This window comes from Homo sapiens, chromosome 4, assembly GCF_000001405.40.
Source record: "Homo sapiens chromosome 4, GRCh38.p14 Primary Assembly".
NCBI lineage: Eukaryota > Metazoa > Chordata > Mammalia > Primates > Hominidae > Homo > Homo sapiens.
Genome location: NC_000004.12, coordinates 187,591,342 through 187,611,452, shown reverse-complemented (window position 1 = coordinate 187,611,452; position 20,111 = coordinate 187,591,342). Strand labels below are relative to the sequence as shown.

Genomic DNA, 20,111 nt, shown 5'->3' with positions numbered 1-20,111 from the left:
CAGACTCTTAGCTATTTGATATGTTCTGCATGGAAGACACAACCTGAATATTTCTGTATGTTTCTCTTCAACTTCTGATTTTGCAATATTCTTTCCTTAGGGACTTCTTGAAGAGAGCTCACAGGGAAAATTACTACCCCCAGGACTCCATCAGATTTTCATGTCAGTTAGGAACTTTGGCAGTAGTTTTAACAGTTCCTCGTTGTGAATATGATCACTTTGTTAGAACAACTCCTTCCTGCTTCCTCCAATGCTTTAGAAACTCTTCCTTCGTGTTATATTCAATAGGAAAATGAGCAACAGTTCAGCTGTTACGCATACAGTGATCTTTATCATTCTTATTCATAAGTAAAGCAAAAACTGTTAAGATGAGTAGACATATAATAACCAAAGAAAACTTACATATACAACAAAACAATAATATTTTTAAAATGGGGTGTAAAAGAAATATTTTCTTTGCAAAAGTGACCCCTTAGTATAGTGATTAGTAAATTATCACTTCTTCCAGCTCACAAAAAATAATCCCAACTTCCAGCTGAAATAAAAATCGCATTTATTTTGCTAATCTACATAAAAATCGTTTAAATTTGTTTCAGTGAAATAAGACTAGAAACAAAATTGTGGGATGTATTTTTATGGAATTTTGCAAACTTAAATGCAAAGAAGTCACAAATCTAAATATTATAGAGTTTGATCTATTATGAGTTTGTAACAAAAATAAGATATATAGTGTTCTTTTTTATATTTTAGCAATTTTAAAATGTAATACGATCTTCATTGTATCATGATTTAGTAACTTTGCCTAACTTGTTTAAACGTAACTGAAAACTGAGAAAGAGGGTTTTTTTAAATCAAATGTTTGGATGAATATTTGAGTATAGTATGAAAATCTCATACAAATAAATAAGATTTTCAGACAAGGTTACCTTTTTCTTTTTCTTTCTTTTTTTTCTTTACAGATAGAGTCTTTTTAAAATTATTATTATACTTTAAGTTCTGGGATACATGTGGAAGGTGCAGGTTTGTTACATAGATATATACACGTGCCATGGTGGTTTGATACACCCATCAACCCGTCATCTACATTAGGTATTTCTCCTAATGCTCTCCCTCCCCTAACCCCCCAACCCCCAATAGGCCCCAATGTATGATGTTCCCCTCCCTGTGTCCACGTGTTCTCATTGTTCAGCTCCCACTTATGAGTGTGAACAAGCGGTGTTTGATTTTCTGTTCCTGTGTTAGTTTGCTGAGAATGATGGTTTCCAGCTTCATCCATGTCCCTGCAAAGGACATGAACTCATCCTTTTTTATAGCTGCATAGTATTCCATGGTGTATACGTGCCACATTTTCTTTATCCAGTCTATCATTGATGGGCATTTGGGTTGGTTCCAAGTCTTTGCTATTGTGAATAGTGCTGCAGTAAACGTATGTGTTCATGTGTCTTTATAGTAGAATTATTTATTTATTTATTTATTTATTTATTTATTTATTTATTTTTGAGACAGAGTCTTGCTCTGTCACCCAGGCTGGATGGAGTGCAGTGGCGCGATCTCAGCTCACTGCGAGCTCTGCCTCCTGTGTTCATGCTATTCTCCTGCCTCAGCCTCCAGAGTAGCTGGGACTACAGGTGCCAGCCACCACACCTGGCTCACTTTTTGTATTTTTAGTAGAGACGGGGTTTCACCATGTTAACCAGGCTGGTCTTGATCTTCTGACCTCGTGATCCGCCCACCTCGCCCTCCCAAAGTGCTGGAATTACAGGCGTGAACCACCGCCCCCGACCAGTAGAATGATTTATAATCCTTTGGGTATATACCCAGTAATGGGATGGCTGTGTCAAATGGTATTTCTGGTTTTAGATCCTTGAGGAATCACCACACTGTCTTCCACAATGGTTGAACTGATTTACACTCCCACCAACAGTGTAAAAGCATTCCTATTTTTCCACATCCTCTCCAGCATCGGTTGTTTCCTGACTTTTTAATGATCGCCATTCTAACTGGTGTGAGATGGTATCTCATTGTGGCTTTCATTTGCATTAGAGATAGAGTCTTGCTCTGTCACTCAGGCTGGAGGGCAATGGCATGATCATAGCTCACTGCAGCTACGAACTCTTGGACTCAAGTTATCCTCTCGCCTCAACCTCTTCTGTAGCTGGGACTACAGGCGTGTGCCACCATGCCCGGCTAATTTTTTAAATTTTTTTGTAGAGGTGGGATCTCACTATGTTGTCCAGGCTGGTCTTGAATTCCTGGCCTCAAGCAGTCCTCTCACCTGGGCCTCCCAAAGTGCTAGGATTACAGTCATGAGCCACAATTACCAGTCTAAGCTTACCTTTTTCAAGAACAATTCAGAAACCTTAAATGTAGATAATACAGTGTTTTTGAATAGGTCTGTAAAAAGAGAGCTTTGTTTAAGATAAAATAAAAATGCACACATATCTTTAAAAATAGCCTTTATTCCCATATTCTTTGCAAGAGTAAATATCTTCCTTTTTCTTTTCTTTTTTCTTTTTTTCTTTTTTTTTTTTCTGTACAGTGTCTCAGTCTGCCACCCAGGCTGGAGTGCAATAGTGCACTCATGGCTCACTGTAGCCTCAAACTCCTGGGATCAAGTGATCGTCCTGCCTCAGCCTCTCAAGTAGCTGGGAATAGAGGTGTATGCCACCATGTCCAGCTGTTTTTTTTTTTTTTTTTTTTTTTTTTGTCAAGATGAGGGTCTTTCTGTGTTGCCCAGGCTGGTCTTGAACTCCTGGCCTCAGGTGACCCTCCTACCCTGGCCTCCCAAAGTGCTGGGATTATAAGCGTGAGCCAGTGTGCCCAGCCTCTTTCCCGTATTGTTTACCAGATGAAACCTACAGCTTAGTCTTTCTAATCTTGACACTTCTCCCTCATTAAACCTGTAATCATTTGATGTAAGTCTTTCCAGCCAAGAGGAAAGGTGAGCAGATGCTTCTATAGAACTCAGTGCTGCAGCCAGTGGGAGTGTTCAGACCAAAAGCAAGAGCCACTCTGCCGTTCTTCCACCTGTTGTGTCTGCTTTTTTCAACATCAGGCCTGTCTTGCTGCCAGCCCCAGTGAAAATCCAGCTGACTCTCAACTTTATCATCATTGGCCATCTTGAGTCATCAATTGGTTTACTGTAGCTGATATGCCTACACTTCCTTCATTTGAACCCAGGTTGAATCATAAATATTTCATTTACTTTAAAGGATTCCAAAGTGTGTGTATAATATCAGATTTTAATTTTTTCCCCACTGCAAGGTGTTAGAGCAGAAATATTATAATACTGAATTAGAGTTCTGAGAAAGCACGGTTCTGGCTGATGCAATGCAGAAACCCAGCTTTTGTTGCAATTTTTCTGGCTTGGTCAAATTACTCACTTGATGTTCTTGGGCAAACTATTTAAAGCATCTCCTTATGATTCTTCAACTGAAAAATGGGGATACTGTAAAATATAAACTGAAAACATGAGGGTATTAGAGGCCCCACAAACACACACACACACACACACACACACACACACACAAAGAGTTCAGCATGTGTCATTATAACAGGAACTTTTTTGAAGAACTTAATTTCTTTGAGACTTAATTCATAACACTGGAACATATAACCTATGCTAGAGATTTCTGTCTTTTCATTTTAGAACTATTCACTTTATGAAATTTCCATAGAGCTCCCAATGTAAATACATTTCCTCTCTCTCTATGGGACAGTCACTATAGAATTATTTCAAATATTTTATGTTTAAGTTAAGTTAACCTTTGTTAAAATGGAAAAGAATGGGAGTGAGCCCCTTTAGTAAGACAAGCTCTTTAGTGCAGATATGGTATCTGGCATAAAGCCAAACCTTCAGGTGCAAGCCTCCTAGGGTGTTCTTAATTGAGCAGCCCTTGCTTAAGAGGTGTGTGTTACCACAGGCTCAGGAGAAGCACAGAAGTTACAGATAAATAAAGATCTTGGAGCTAAATTTATAAAAAGAACCTTAGGGAACTGTATCATCAACCCCCATTGTTTCAGAATGTTGGAGTAAGTTCATAAATCTCACTAATGGAAGCACAAATATTCCTGAACCGTTGCCTACCTTTTATCAATCTGACCATTTTAGGGAAAGATTTTTCACTAAACTAGAGTGGCGGTGCCCACCTTGAAAGGGAAGAGGCCGAGTTGCTTTCCATTTATTGTTCAGACCCCAGGGGAGTGGGGAGGGAGTGGGGGATGCATCCCAGAGGCAGTGAGTGGGGACCTGGGAGGGGACTATTGGGGAACTACTGAGGACAGGGCGAGTGATTGCTGAACCTCTGTGATGAGACACGAAATCTACATTTACTTTGCCTTTAGCCAGCCTCTCCTCCATAAGAACCATACATTCAGTGGTTTTAAGACGAATTGTGAGAGATTATTTCCAAGTTTCTGAAGACCAGTGAAATCTTGGGTGGCTACTACAGGACTCCACCAAGCCTTGAACCTGGGGCTGCAATGCAAAAAGAGTTCATAAAATGCAGCAGCAATGTAAACTCAAAAATAGTATGAGGAGAAAAGAAAACAGTACTCTTAAGGATGTTTTTCTTTTAATATTGTTGTTTGGTATTTCTAAGTATACTTTTCTTTACTGGTGTTGATTTGATTGACTTATTTCCTTTGCGTTAACAAAAGGGTGCTTGTCCAGACTGGTGCCTGAGTCCTCTCTTCCCAAGGGCATACCCCCATGGGAAAGCAGCTTTGTGCAGAATAAGCCACCATGTGACCTGCACTGCCACCTACTGGTATTTATCTCAAACTGCAGCTCAGGCTAACAGACCTGGGTTTGTATAATATGATTAGCCTGGGAATTACAAAATATTTGCAAACTCTGCATCCAACAAAGGTCTAATATCCAGAATTATAAGAAACTCAAACAAATCAACAAGCGAAGGGTGAACGACCCCATTAAAAATGGGCAAAGGACATGAGCAGACATTTCTTGAAAGAAGATATACACGTGGGCAACAAACATGAAAAAATGCTCAACATCATTATCATCAGAGAAATGCAAATCAAAACCTCAGTGAGATACCATATCATATCAGAGGAATGGCTATTATTAAAAGGTAAAAAAACAACAGATGCTGGTCAGGCTACGGAGAAAAGGGGACGCTTATACACTGCTGGTGGGAATGTAAATTAGCTCAGCCATTGTGGAAAGCCGTTTGAAGATTTCTCAAAAAACTTAAAACAGAATTAGCATTTGACCCAGCAAACCCATTACTGTGTGTATATCCAAAGGAAAATAGATTATTGTACCAAAAAGATATATGCACGCGTATGTTCATTGCAGCACTGTTCACGATAGCAAAGACATGAAATCAACCTAAGGTGACCATCAGTGGTGGACTGGTTAAAGCAAATGTGGTACATATACACTATGGAACACTATGCAGCCATAAAAAGGGTAAAATTATGTCCTTCACAGCAACATGGATGTAGCTGGAATCCGTAATCCTAATTGAATTAATGCAGAAACAGAAAACCAAATACATCATGTTCTCACTTACCAGTGGGAACTAAACATTAACCACATATGGACATAAACATGGGAAAAATGGAGACACTGCAGACTACTAGAGGTGGTAGGGAGAGAGCAGGCAAGGGCTGAAAAACCGCCTATTGGGTACTATGCTCACCACCTGGGTGTAATATACTCATGTAACAAATCTGCACATGTAGTCCCTGTGTCTAAAGTAAAAGTTATTTTTTTTAAATGCAAAAATAGCAGACCATACCCAGAGTGAGTAAGAATTTTGGAGATGTTCTAGCCATTGGTTCAATCCCTTAATTTTACTTCTGGCACACTGAGAGCAGAGAAGAAAGATACACCATGCACATGGTCCAAAGAGAAACAAAGCCTGCCATTAGGTAAAGCTGGAAGGACAGGTTTTTTAATCCATAACGTACCATCGTAGTAGGAAAAAGTCCAGCATGAATTGAACTCAAGTTTTATTTGTGCAGAGGAGACTGGGCATTTTAAAGCAAGAGCGAGAGAAGAGAGCATGGGTGACGGGGGATCAGTCTGGTCAGAGAAGTGGAAAATTACAAAAAGCAGGAAATCGGGGATTGGTCCGTGTGAAACCCACATTGTTTTGTTAACTGGAGCTTGTCAAGATGAGGCCCTTACCCTCCCACAGAGGCTAGGAGATGGGAGCCCTCTCTCCAGGGGTTGGCTGGAGCAAACAGTAGACTCCTTGGGCAGCCTGCAGTGTCCTCAGGCAGGCACTGAAGCCGAGCCGGGGTCGGGGTCGTCCCTGGGGATGCAGCTTTCAACTGTGAGAAACGAACTTAGTGTTTGGAGGCCACTACAAACATGTCTGTATAGACCGAGGCCAAGGCCAGGGTAAGAATGGGCTCAGAGAAGCCTGGCTAAATTTCAAAGACAGAATCTTTGTCAACATTTATTAAAGCGAATGTGCACCTTTTGAATAAGACAGTCTGTCTTTTCACTTAACAAAAAAGTTTTGAATTCTAGACATTATACTGTATGAGAACCTCAGAAATATTTTGATTCTACCCTTTAGTAATCCATAATTATAGAAAACAAATTACTCAGGCAGACATGTTAGATATAGTCTCATCGATAGTAACCCTGAAAAGAAATATTAATTTATTCTAGAGGTTCAATAATACGTTTGAATTCCAGCCTCAAAAAAAAAAAAAAAACCATTGCAAAGGAAGATCCACATCTATATGAAAGCAGTAGTAATCTGAGAGTCAAGCATTGAATTTGCAAGTCAGGCAGAGATGACTTGCCTAGTAAATTTACAGAAAAAGAAAACCATAAGTAGCAGAATTGTTGAACGTAACTTCTGAAGAAATACTGTAAACGGCAGGAACTCCTGTGAAGTGGCTGGGGATGACCAGCTCTGTCTGTTGACAGGGGCTTACCAACAGGTGTACTGGGTATACTAGGAGGTTCTTAGAGAAGCAGCAACACATATTCACATACTAATATTGTTACTCAAAATCTGTAACTTTATTTCAGATGATTTACATCTAAGTGGTAAGAAAAAATAGCTTTAGGGTGGGAGGGATGCATGTTTTATGGTTTAATAATACAATTCTAGAAGTTTCACTTGTAGATTCTACTGCAGAACTTGCCTCTGGTACCTGATTTGTCAGTGTTATATGCTATCGGTATACTGAATCTACTGAGTTTATTACCTCTATCTTACTTTATACAGAAGGAAGGAAGGGAGGAAGAGAAGAGGGTGGGAAGGAGAGAGGGATAAAGGAAGGAAGGGAGGAAGAAGAGAAGGAAGGGAGAGAAGGGTAGGGGAGGGCAGAGGAGAGGAGGGGAGGAGAGGGGAGGAGAGCAGAGGGGAGGGGAGGAGGAGAGGGGAGGGGAGGAGAGGAGAAGGGAGGGGAGGAAGGGGGGGAGAGGGGAGGGGAGGAGAGGAGAGGAGGAGAGGAGAGGGGAGGGGAGGAGAGGAGAGGGGAGGGAAGGAGAGGAGAGGGGAGGAGAGGAGAGGAGAGGAGGAGAGGAGAGGGGAGGGGAGGAGAGGAGAGGGGAGGAGAGGAGAGGAGAGGGGAGGGGAGGAGAGGAGAGGAAAGGGAAAGAAAAGCACATTCTTTTCATTCCTGAATTTGTCAGTCTTTGCCCATCAAATTAACAGGTTACAGTACTATAAATAAAATTCCTTGATTCCATCCTTGCTTTAGACTAAAGTTGTATTATCATTGATGACTCCAATAGGAACACTTTATTACTAAGAAGCAAGAATAGCGCCTCTGCTTATGATTTTGAATTAACTCATTAGATACCCACATTTGCCCCATACTATGCACTTAGACACACTGATTCTACAATCAAAATCTTTCTCTATTGCTCCGATAATAAGCTACAAAACTCTGAAAACAGTGTGATATATTTTAGGCCTCTAAGCTGAAGCGTATACATCTAAAAGCTGACATATCTAGCTGAATGATTTATACATTCACTTTTCAGACTGGCTTTATGCCCAAGCAAGAGAGGGCCTGGATATGCCCAATGCCATGTGCAAAGCACTCATTTTAAACTAGCAAGTCATTATGAAGCATGTATATTTCTATTTCTCACTGTTCCAGCACTTTGTGTGGAAGGTTACCACAAAGATAGATCACATCAGAGAGTTTTAAGAAAGTATTTGGGGCCATTTAAAGTCAATGGCACGCTGCAGAATTATATGAGTTCCTGTGGGAGCCTGCTCTTCAGCAGCGAAGTTTGTGGTTTTTGCTAATTCTGGAAATAAATGGATGGCTCCTTTGGCATTTTTAGACATTCCCATCACATGAGGCAAGAACAGTTCAAATAGGACTTAACTAACAAGAAGAATAAGGAACAGCTAATTCTCCCTTTCTCCATAATTGTCCAGGAGAAACATGCTCTTTTCTATCTTTGAATTCAACTCACTGAACTCATAAATCATCAGAGCCGTCCCTAAATTGAAGAGTAAGCAAATTTCAAATGGTTGCTTTGCCAAAATTGTTCCATGCTGAGTGTGGCATCAAGAGCTTCAAAGTTCCCCTCTTTCTCCTCAAGTATTTAGCTGTAGGCACACCAGAAGACCTTGGCATGGTTTGCTGGCAGCCATACCAATGACAGCAAGACGGTAATTTTGTGGAAGGAACTGACTCTGTAACAGAAGAGCACACACATTGTTTAGTCCAAAAGGGAGCAGGTGGGAGCAGAGCACCCCAGGAAGTCTGTCTCCTTAATGGCAGGGAGTCGAGCTCCATAGTTGATAGACGCTGGTCAAGAGGCAGAAACAGGCAAAGGCAGGAAAGACGCACATGCATAGGCTAAAATCTCGCTAGGGTGTGCTGAGTGTGGGTGCGTGGCATTCTCGGAAAACAAAAGCAATACATATCTCCTCATCCCTTTTCCTTATTTGTGAGAAATCCTTACTCTGAGGAAGCAAATAGTGATGAGTTAATACTGGAAAACCGGGCAGCACACTTGGCAAATTATTATCACTTCCTTTGGTGTTCATGGTAATAACATTAATCATTAGAAATTCCTGCAGCGTGACATTATTTCCTCCTCTTTGATCTCAGAAGGAAATCTCAAGCAAACTGTCATTTGCCAAACGGACCAGTGAAGAGATTTTTTTTTTCTCTTCGTGGTTGTAAGTGATTTTAAAATGAAGACCCATTGTCAAATCTATGAAGAAAAAGTGAGGCATAGTCCAGGTTTGACTGGACTGGATTAAACCTAGATTCATGCCCTAATATTAGCGAAAGCAAACCATCATTCACATTTAGGTGTCAGTTCTGTCAAACAACAGTATATTGCACACAAATAACTTAGAATGTCTTTCAGCAGCTGACACATACAATCTTTCTTTTGTTTAACCATGGTTATAACTTTGTTTAAGTGCTCATTGCATTATTTTCCATATTATATTTACTATTAAGTCCAACAATATTCCTCTTTTTTCACTCCATATAATGTGCTCATAATAATAGGAGACAAAGCTGGAGGCATTAAAACTAGTTCACAGTGTTAGACAGTTTAAAGAATGCTAGTTTGAGAGTTAAAGACTAAAGCAGGAACTTGTAAAGTGACAGTTCCATGTCATGGTCTGTTTATTCAAATTAGCTCAATTTTAAGCATAGAGAATGTTGAGGTTTAAACTATCTTATTCTTTCAAAAGTGAATGCCTTTATCTTTCTTACACAGACTTCATAAATTTCATGATACCTTCACATAGAAAATACTTAGCCCAGTTTGATTATTGTTACTTTTCTTTAACAGCCGACTGCTACTGGGTCCTATAAATGCAGAGTGAAATGTTCTTATTATCATCTGGCTGTAATGTTGACTAAAGCACTTACATTTATATCATCTTCTGTGTTGATAGCACCTGTTGTCATTGTCAACAGAGAGGTATATATTGTTTACATTGATTTGGATTTTGTTTCTTTGTTTTTCATTTGTTAAGTAGCAAATCACTGACCGTTATGTTGCTTGGACACCCGCTTTTTTTTTATTTTTAGTGTCAAAGGATTTGGCTTTAGTTTTCAGACTTTACTCTGCTTCAATAAAGCATTTAATGACTATGTAAAATATGGACTAAAATATTGTACATTCATGGAGGTTTAACCACTGGATATTTATGCCTGTATTACCCTGATACAAATATTCAGCTGTATCTGAATAGTTAAAATGTCTTTTAGAATACCACGTGGGTTAGACAGAAGTTCACTATCAATAATTTAGAATATATGTAATCTTACATGCTGCCAAGAAGGAAGTAAAAATAAGTACATAATCTTTGAGAGGTCAGGATTCATTTTTTCTGTCGTGTATTCATTCATTAAAATGATCGAATATTCAATGTTACTCTCAGTATTGAAATTGGGAGCAAATGTAGTCCTTGCTTTCATGGAGCTTATAGTCTCTGGAGGTGATAGACTTTAACTAATTAATAACACTCAGATAATACAAATATGGCTTGTCCTGTGAAGAAAAACTCGAGGGAGTAGTGAGAGTGCAATGGAGTAGATTGAAGGCAGCAAAACTCTTCTGTGAAGAGGAGCAGTTTAGGTGGGAGCTGATGATGAGATCGCCATGATTAAATGGATTAGGCTTATGTTGATCCACAGCAAGAGAAACAGTGTTCCAGGCCAAGGAGCAAATCCTCACATGCACTGCGAGGAAGAGGAACACAAAGACATGGCTGGAGAGTGGGGATACTGATAGAAACATCGACTCTGACTTTAGTTTTTAGAACAGTTTTAGGTTCATAAAAAAATTAGGAAGATGGTACAGATAGTTCCCATACACCCAAGCCAGTTCCCACTATCATTAACAGCTTATATTAGCATGGTACCTTTGCATAATTAATGAACTAATATTATAAATATCTTATGAACTGAAGCCCATAGCTTATTCAGACTTCCTTAGGTTTTTTTTGTTTTTAACTTAGTCGCACTCAGTTCCCCAGGCTGGAGTGCAGTGGCATGATCTTGGCTCACTGCAACCTCCACCTCCCAGGTTCAAGAGATTCTCCTGCCTCAGCCTCCTGAGTAACTGGGATTACAGGCATGCACCACTACACCTGGCTAATTTTTGTATTTTTAGCAGAGAAGGGGTTTCACCATGTTGGCCAGGCTGGTCTCGAACTCCTGACCTCAGGTGATCCACCAGCCTTGGCCTCCCACAGTGCTGGGATTACAGGAGTGAGCCACTGTGCCTGGCCCAGACTTCCTTAGTTTCTACCCAACATCAGCTTTAGGTTCCGGAATCCTATGGGACACCATGTTACATTTAGTGGCCGTGACTCCTCAGGCTCCTCTTGGCTGTCATAGTTTCTCAGACTTCCTGTGTTTTTGATGACCCCAACAATTTTGAGAAGTCCTCTTTTGTAGGTTGCCCTCTGTTGGAAATTTTCTGACTTTTTTTCCCCTCATGATTAGACTAGATTTGTGTCTTTTGTAGAGGAAAATCACAAAGCTAAGCCGCCATTTTCATTGCATCATATCGTGGGCAAGCACTGTCAGCATGATTTGTGACTGTTGGTTCTGACTTCGACTTGAATCACCTGGCTGAGGTCGTGTTTTCTTCCCTGTAAAGTGGCTCCTCCGCTGCCTCGCCCTGCACTTTCCAGAATCTACCCCTTGGAAGGGAGTCTGTATGTGTAGCTCACACTTAGGGATTAGGAGTTATGCTCCAATCCCTCAAGGCTGGAGTAGCTTCCTTAAAGGCAAAACAGTGGCATAAGTTATTAGAAATGATTTGGCAGGGGATTTGATTTGACTCCCCGATTTATTCATTTATTCAATCATTCTTTATATCAGTGTAGACTCGTGGATTTTTTTTTTTTTTTTTGAGACAGGGTCTTGCTCTGTTGCCAGGCTGTAGTGCAGTGGTGCTATCTGGGCTCACTGCAACTTCTGTCTCTTGGGTTCAAGCGATTCTCCTGCCTCAGCCTCCTGAGTAGCTGGGATTACAGGCACGCGCCGCCACGCCCAGCTTATTTTTGTATTTTAGTAGAAATGGGGTTTCACCATGTTGGCCAAGATGGTGTCGATCTCCTGACCTTGTAATCCACCCATCTTGGCCTTCCAAAGTGGTGGGATTACAGGTGTGAGCCACTGCACCAGGCCATGGATATTTCTTTTATAGTTTGGATTATAATCCAACACGACTTATTTTGTGGCTCAAATCGTTCCAGCTTTGGCCATTGGGAGCGCTTTCAGTTGGCTTTGTGCCCCCTTCACACACCCTCATGATGTGAGGTTTTCTGTGGGGAGGAGGGTGCACGCCCTGCTTTCTGTGACTACTGGATGCTCCAGGCTCATCCTGTATACACCTGGCCTTGGTGTTAGTATCAGCCCTCTCTACAAGAAGACTTGGTTTGTTTTATTGGAGGAGGTAGTCAATGCAAGATCTAGGTGTGTTCATTGATACGAGGGTGCCATTTGTTTTAGATCTTCTCAGCTGATAGAGCAAAGAAATAGATGTGTGTATCCTAACGCATGTATATACATACATCTATAAATATTTCCATAGGTGGCCATCTGTATCTATATTAAGCTAAATGTGAGCTTATACTGATGTCTCCAATTCAAATATGCTAACAAAGGCATCATTCTAGCCTCCTTCTCTTATCTGTAAATTCTAACCAAAAAATAACCTGGCTTTTCCAACCCACCTTCATTTATATACCTATTCATGTTTAGCTTTGTATGAGTTTGCCAAACTCTAAAGTGGCTGTATCTTTTTTGTTCCCACCAAAAATGAATGAGAGCTCCCTTTGCTCTGTATCCTCATAAGCATTGGTCACGTGAGTTGCTTATATTTCAGCCATTCGAATAGTTGTATAAAGGTGTCATATCACTGAACAGCTACATAAACGATGGTGGGTGAGAGAAGCCAGGTTCTTACAGTTAGACTGAGAATTTACAGAGAAGTAAGGGGAGGGCTAAGAATCGTGAAGCTGTATTCCCATGGGAGACAACTTTGCCAGCTACAGTACAGTGCTTACGTGCAGTTGCTGTTCTTTAATTTTTAGAAACTTTGCTCAATTCCAAAGTTATTTAGGTCAGCCCCTTTCTCCTGACCCTATTCAGTGAGGTAATTTGATATATTTATGATACAGTCGCATTCCTCTGTCATATTCTGCATATCTTTCTGGGATTCCCAGCCTCCTATTTTTTAAATTGTGCATACCTTAAGGCTCACTCTTGATGCTGTGAAGTTTGATGAGTTTTCAGAGATGCATAATGTCGTGCATCCACCATTACAGCATCACACAGGATGGTTTCACCATCGCCCCAAGCCCAGTGCTTGATCCCCTCTGACTTCACTTCCTAGCAATCAGGATTTGTGTTTTCATAGATGGCAGGTTTTCATTTTACAAGTCATATAATTGGATCATATCATATGTAGCCTCTCACACTGGCTTTTTTCACTTACCAACGTGCATTTCAGTTTCCTCCTTGTCTTTGTGACTTGATTGCACTTTTTTTTAACCACTGAATAATATTCCATTATATGGATCTACTAGCTTATGCATTCACCTATAGAAGGACTTCTTGGTTCCTTTCAATTTTGGCAATTATATATAAAGCTGCTTAAACATTCATACATGTTTTTGTGTAGATATAAGTTTTCAAATCAAATATGGATGAGATTACTGGATTGTATAGTAAGATTATGTTTAGTTTTGTAAGAGTTTGCCAAGTTGTCTTCTAAAGCTGCTATACCATTTTTCATTCCCACAAAAAATGAGAGTTCCTGTTGGTCTGTATCCTCATAGGAATTTGGTAATGTGAGTTTCTTTGATTTTAACCATTCTAATGAGTGTATAATGGTATCAGCATGCTGTTTTCAATCAAATTTCCCTGATGACGCGCGACACTGAGCATCTCCTCACATGCTCGTTTGCTGTCTCTGTATCTTTGACAGCCTGGTCTTTTTCCAGTTCTTTTGCCCAGTTTTGAATTGTGTTGTTTTCTTACTGTTGAGTTTTAAGAGTTTCTTAGAGTTCTTTGTAGATTTTGAATATAAGTCCTCTATCAAATATCTGTTTTGCAAATATATTCTCCTATTCTGTGGCTTGTCTTTTCATTCTCTTGATAGTGTCTTTTGTGGAGAAGTTTTAAATTTTAATAAAACTGACATTTTTATTCTTTCACTGATTATGTCTTTTGATGTTATATCTAAAAATCCATTGCCAAACTCAAAATCACATTAATTTTTCTCCTCTTGTTTATTCCAGAAGTTTTATAATATTTTGGTTTATATTTAGGTTGAAGATCTGTTTTGAGTCAGTTTTTGTGAAAAGTGTAAGTTCAATATATTTACTTTTTATATTTGCATATGCATGTCCAATTATTCCAGTACCATTTGTTGAAAAGACTATTTTTTCTGTCTATTGAATTGCTTTTCTCCTTTATTAAGGATTAATTGACTTTATTTGTGCAGAAAGAACGTTACATTTTTTAACAATACTATTCAGTTATAATTTCACACCATAAAATTCTCTGAGATTTAGTGTACAAATCAATGTGTATAAACTTATAGACTTATGCTACTATTAATGCAATTCAGTTTTAGAACATTTCTTTCACTCCCAAAAGATCTCTTGTGTCCATTTTTATTAATCCACACTCTTTCCCCAGCCCTAGGCAACCATTAATTTAATCTACTCTGTGCCCCTATAAGATTTGCCTTTTCTTACTGGTATGAACACTTGCATACAAGTCCTTGTGTGGCTATGTGTGTTATTTCTCCTGAGTAGATTCCTCTGAGTAGAACTGCTGATTCATGTGGTAGGGGGTGTATTATTATTATCTTTTATTTTTTTGGATATTACCATTTTACTGATTGTGAAATAGTTTCTCATGCATGTTTTAATTTGAATTTCCCTGATTAATTAATGGCATGGAGAATATTTTCATGTTTGTTAGCCATTGATATATCTTTTTAAGTGAATATCTATTCAAATATTATGCTCAGTTTTTAATTGAGTTGTCTTCTAATAGAGCTGTAGGAGCCTTTTACATAGTCTGGGTACAAGTCCTTTGTCAAATATATGATTTGCAAATATGTTTTCCAGCGTGTAGCTTGTCTTTTCATTTCCTAATGGTATATTTTGGATGATGAAGTTTTTAATTTTGATGAAGAACAATTTATCTTTTTTTGTTTACTCATGAATTGAGCTTTCAGTGTCATGTCTAAGAACTCTTCTCTAACACAAGTTCGCAAAAAATACTTCTATGTTTTTATTCTGGATGTTTTATAATATTAACTCTAACGTTTAAGTCTATGATCTATCTAGAGTTAGTTTTTGTGTATTATATGAGTAAAGTGTGTAAATTTCTCTCTCTCTTTTTTTTTTTTTTTGAGACAGAGTCTCGCTCTGTCTCCCAGGCTAGTGTGTGCAGTGGCAGAATCTCGGCTCACTGCATCCTCTGCCATCTAGGCTCAAGCAATCCTCCCACCTCAGCCTCCCAAGTAGTTGGGACTATAACTGCATGCCACCATGCCTGGCTAATATTTTTTTTTGGTGGGGAGGACGGAGTCTCGCTGTGTCACCCAGGTTGGAGTGCACAGGTACGATCTTGGCTCACTGCAATCTCTGCCTCCTGGGTTCAAGCGATTCTCCTGCCTCAGTCTCCTGAGTAGCTGGGATTATAGGCACCTGCCACCATGCCCAGCTAATTTTTGTATTTTTAGTAGAGACAGGGTTTTACCATGTTGGTCAGGCTGGTCTAGAACTCCTGACCTCGTGATCCGCTCACCTCGGACTCCCAAAGTGCTGAGATTACAGGCATGAGCCACTGCACCCAGAAATTTCTGTATTTTTAATAGAGATGAGGTCTCGCCATGTTGCCCAGGCTGGTCTTGACCTCCTGGGCTCAAGTAATCCTCCTCCTGGGCTCAAGTAATCCTCTCAAAGTGCTGGGATTACAGGCATGAGCCACTGTGCCCAGCCTAAATTCCTCTTTTTGCATGAATTTATCCAGGGGTTCCAACACATTTGTAGAAAAGACTATCCTTTCCCTACTGAAGTACCTTGACAGCTTTGTCAAAAATTAGTTGATTTTATATGTAAGGAGCTATTTCTGGATTCCTGACTCTACTTTATTGATCTGTATTTCCATGCTTATGTCAGTACCACACTGTCTTGATTATTGTATCTTTATAGAAATTTCAAATTCAGGAAGTGTAAGTAGTCTAAATTCATTTTTATTTTTCAAAATTATTGTGGCTAATTTGATTCCTTTGTGTTTTTATATAAATGTTAGCACCAGCTTGTTAATTTCTGCAAAAATTTTAAATGAGAAAAGCCTGCTGAATTCTTGATAGGGATTGTGTTGAATCTATAGATCAATTTGGTAAGAATTTGCCATCTTAACAACACTCAGTCTTTGAATCCATAAACATGGACTATCTCTCTGTTCACTTAGATCTTCTCTGATTTTTCATAGCGATGTTTTATGGTTTTCAGTGTGCAAGCTCTGCACTACTTTTGTTAAAATATCCCTCATATTTTATTCTTTTTATGCTATTGTGAATATAATTTTTTAGAACTGATAAAGAGATGGAAATGATAGGCTGGGCGTGGTGGCTCATACCTGTAATCCCAGCACTTTGGGAGGCTGAGGCGGGCAGATCATGAGGTCAGGAGATCCAGACCATCCTGGCTAACACGGTGAAACTCCATCTCTACCAAAAATACAAAAAAATTAGCCAGGCGTGATGGCGGGCGCCTGTAGTCCCAGCTACTGAGGAAGCTGAGGCAGGAGAATGGCGTGAACCCGGGAGGTGGAGCTTGCAGTGAGCCGAGATCCCGCCACTGCACTCCAGCCTGAGTGACAGAGCGAGACTCTGCCTTAAAAAAAAAAAAAAAAAAATGGAAATGACATAATAAGACACATGATTTCCACGTTTCTCAATCCCTCATCAAACTCACCTTCCTTAGAGCTCCCTGTTTTAATAAATGGCATTGCCATTCACGGAGTTCTCAGACCAAAACCTTAGAATCCGCTTTCTTTTCTGGTTTTCTCTGCTACTGTTTTTTTAACATGGCAGCAAACCTTGAGAGCTCCGCATGTTAGATTATAAAAGCCAAGAGTGGAAAGAAGGGATGATGAGGAATTAGTTAAAGAGCAGTTACAATAGTTCTCAAAAAATGAGTTACAAAAGTTCTCAAACATGGTTTGCACAAGGAGGTTGGCAGTAGAGACGGAGAGAAGTGAGTAGATTTGAAATATATTTCAGAGTTAAGGACTATTGTGTTTTTATAATGGACTCAGTATGAGTGAATGGGTTAATAAGGGCCATTTATTGTACAGGTAGGAAAACTGAAAGAAGGGTGGGCTTGGGAGAAATTTAGGAGGTGGAAAATACATGTAACTAATATTACATACGTTAAATATTAAGTCTTATGTGCGACCCTCTAGACTCAGATTCTGGAACTCAAAGCAGTGGTGACCTACTCAGTCTCTGAATAGCATATCACACAGTCCAGCTGCTTTTCCTCCTTTATTTGGCTTCCAGGACACCACGTACTATTGGGTTACTTTTTCCCTCTATCCCATTAGCGTGTTCTCTATCTGCGTTGATGGATCTTCCTCCTCTTTATGACATCTAAATATTGCACTGCCCAAGTTACTGTTTTCCTTATACTTTGTTTTTCTCTATCATTACTTGCTCTCTGGTTGATAATATCTAATTGCATAGGTTTTAATTCTGTATCTACTGTGAAAATTCCCAAATGGATATCTCTAGCCAGAACATTCACTTGAACTACAGAATGGTGTCATCACGTCCACTTGTATGGCTGCATCTCACATTTAACATGGCAGGTCTGAACTCTCGATTTCCTTTCTAGTTCTTCCCCAGCCAAGTTTGCTTTTCTTACTGGGCCCCTCAGTAAGTGGTATCACCTTCAGGCAGTTGCTCAGGCCAAAACCTGGGAGGTGTCCTTTATTATTTCTTTCTGTGTCTCAGCCCATACCTAAACCTTTGGCACATCTTGTCACTGGTAAACTTGTCAGTGGCTCTTGCCATTACCCGTATCTATAACCCATTTTCCCATATTGAGCCCCTTAAAAAGTTGACAAGATTTTATGTATTAACATTTTCAAAACAGAAATTGTATTATACTGCTTCTCATCATATCCACCACTGCTACCCTAGTCCAAGCCTCTGTCATTTCTATCCTGATTTTACTTCTACCACTTGTTTCTCTAAAATCTATTTGGCATAGACCAATCATAATGATATTTAAAACATAAGCCAGATGAGCCACTTCCTGGCCTAAAAATGAGGGAACGAGGGGCTGCGTGAACTCTCTGAGTGCATTCTCATTCTGCTCTCCTCCTTCAGACACCTGCAGATGCACTCTGCTCCTATCTCACAGCAACTTAATGGCCTTATGCTATTCCTGGCCATAGAAGATATTTGTTGTTGAGAAAATTACTGAATATTATTACACATAGCTGTAAGCAATATTAACTTTTTTCTTTCTTTTTTTTTTTTTTTTTTTACCATAGCACATTTATTAAAAGCCAGAAGCTAGAAGACGAGGAAAGAAGAGGTGGTTAAAGAAAGATACAGTAACAGCAGTAATATCTAACAGGAAGGCTACAGGGGAAAATACAGAAATTCCATAAAGAACAAACACTGTAACTCAAAACCAAAGCTTTGCTAGTCACTAGTGCCCGCTACATCCTAACAGGTGCCGCGTATTTAATTGTGAAGTCTTTAACAATCACAAGAATATCTCTGAATCATTAAGAGAATGTTGAAAAATAGCCACATAAAGAAAGCAATAAAGGAGCTAAATGACTTAGTAGAAAAACAGACTTTATAAATAAGTTTAATTTTCCAAATATTTTATTGCTTAAGAAAGTGACTTCCCTGATTTGGAGAATTTAGTTCCAAGAAGGGATTCATTTCCTAGTGATGTTGAGGGTTGCTCTGCCCAGGTACCCTTAAGATATATAATTGGAGAATTTTTTATTAGTATGACACAAAGAGACTCAGCCTTAATAAGAATTTTATGCTCAACATGAAATTAATATTTTGCTTTTGAAATAGTGTAGTGCCATTATTTTACTCTTAACATTTAACAATTTTTTTTAAAAGAAAGTAACACGCCATTTTTATTTCTTGTTAAAATAATGTTAATTGTAAAAATGTAGACAGTGGGGAGAAAAATCATTCATAGTCCCACCAGCAAAAGACAAACACTGTTAAAACGTATGTGTGTTATTTTAGCCTCTTTTTTTTTTTTACATTGCTATGCTCTTCTAAAGATTCCTCAGGTTATCTAATTTTTATTATCGATAGAAACTAAAGTTATTACCCTTTGTGTTTCCAAATGTGTGTAACATCTCAATAATGTGCTTTAAAAGAATAAATTATTTCAATATCCATGAACCCCAGATATGGCTCATGCCTTAGTTTATTTAAGTCTATCACCTTTATCTAACAATAACTATAATACATTTTGTTTACTTTAAATACTTTATAAAAATATTATCATATTAAGAAAAATAAAACCAATAGAATATTTAAGTTATAGTATTAAAATATTTAGAATAAAAATGGACAAATATGAAATAGAGGGAGCTACTTATTTGCAATAAGTCACCTCTCTGGGAAAAAAATCCAAACTTGATTTTAATTTAAAATGTATTCGAGCTGCTTAGGTAAGTTAGGATCCCAAATGGAATATACAAATACTATTTTAAAATACTGTAATTTAATTTTCATGTGTATGGCCAAAACTGTAGAAAGGACTCGGTAGTTCACGACAAAAGGAGATCAGTGTATTACCATTCAGATTAAATATTTTATTTCTATTCTAAAGGATATTCCAATTTTGGAAACAAATTAAATTGGCATAATCATTTACATACGTGGAAATATTTTACCAAGCTTTAACTTATCAGAAATCTTAACCTTTACATTTTTATATCACTTACTCTCCCCTTAACAGACAAGACAGCTTGTTTTCCAAGCTTGTTTGAACAAGGTCTAACGCTTAAACTATAATGATAATCAGAACTATGGGAGAAAATTTGCTCTTACTTGCTCTCTTAAATAGTATTATGTCTAAATGTATCTTAGAAGT

At 38.8% G+C, this 20,111-nt stretch overlaps 2 long non-coding RNA genes across 4 annotated transcripts in view, besides 1 other annotated feature; both read left to right on the top strand.

The window, feature by feature from the left end:
• The window catches only part of LINC02492 (long intergenic non-protein coding RNA 2492), a 139,764-nt gene that overhangs the window by 61,189 nt on the left and 58,464 nt on the right, over positions 1 to 20,111 (top strand). The window lies entirely within an intron of this gene.
• The window catches only part of LOC105377604 (uncharacterized), an 81,735-nt gene that overhangs the window by 34,912 nt on the left and 26,712 nt on the right, over positions 1 to 20,111 (top strand). For all 3 annotated transcript variants that reach the window (XR_939614.3, XR_939612.3, XR_939613.3), the window contains exon 2: positions 18,526 to 18,710. This is a non-coding gene — a long non-coding RNA (uncharacterized LOC105377604). The remainder of the gene's footprint in view (positions 1 to 18,525; positions 18,711 to 20,111) is intronic.
• Positions 8,220 to 9,419: an enhancer, noted in NCBI's record as "BRD4-independent group 4 enhancer chr4:188523188-188524387 (GRCh37/hg19 assembly coordinates)". NCBI's record gives its function as "activates an origin of replication core promoter dependent on BRD2, P300/CBP, MED14 and CDK7 cofactors, and independent of BRD4, by STARR-seq in HCT116 cells {active_cell/tissue: HCT116}" and the evidence as "EXISTENCE:reporter gene assay evidence [ECO:0000049][PMID:35650434]".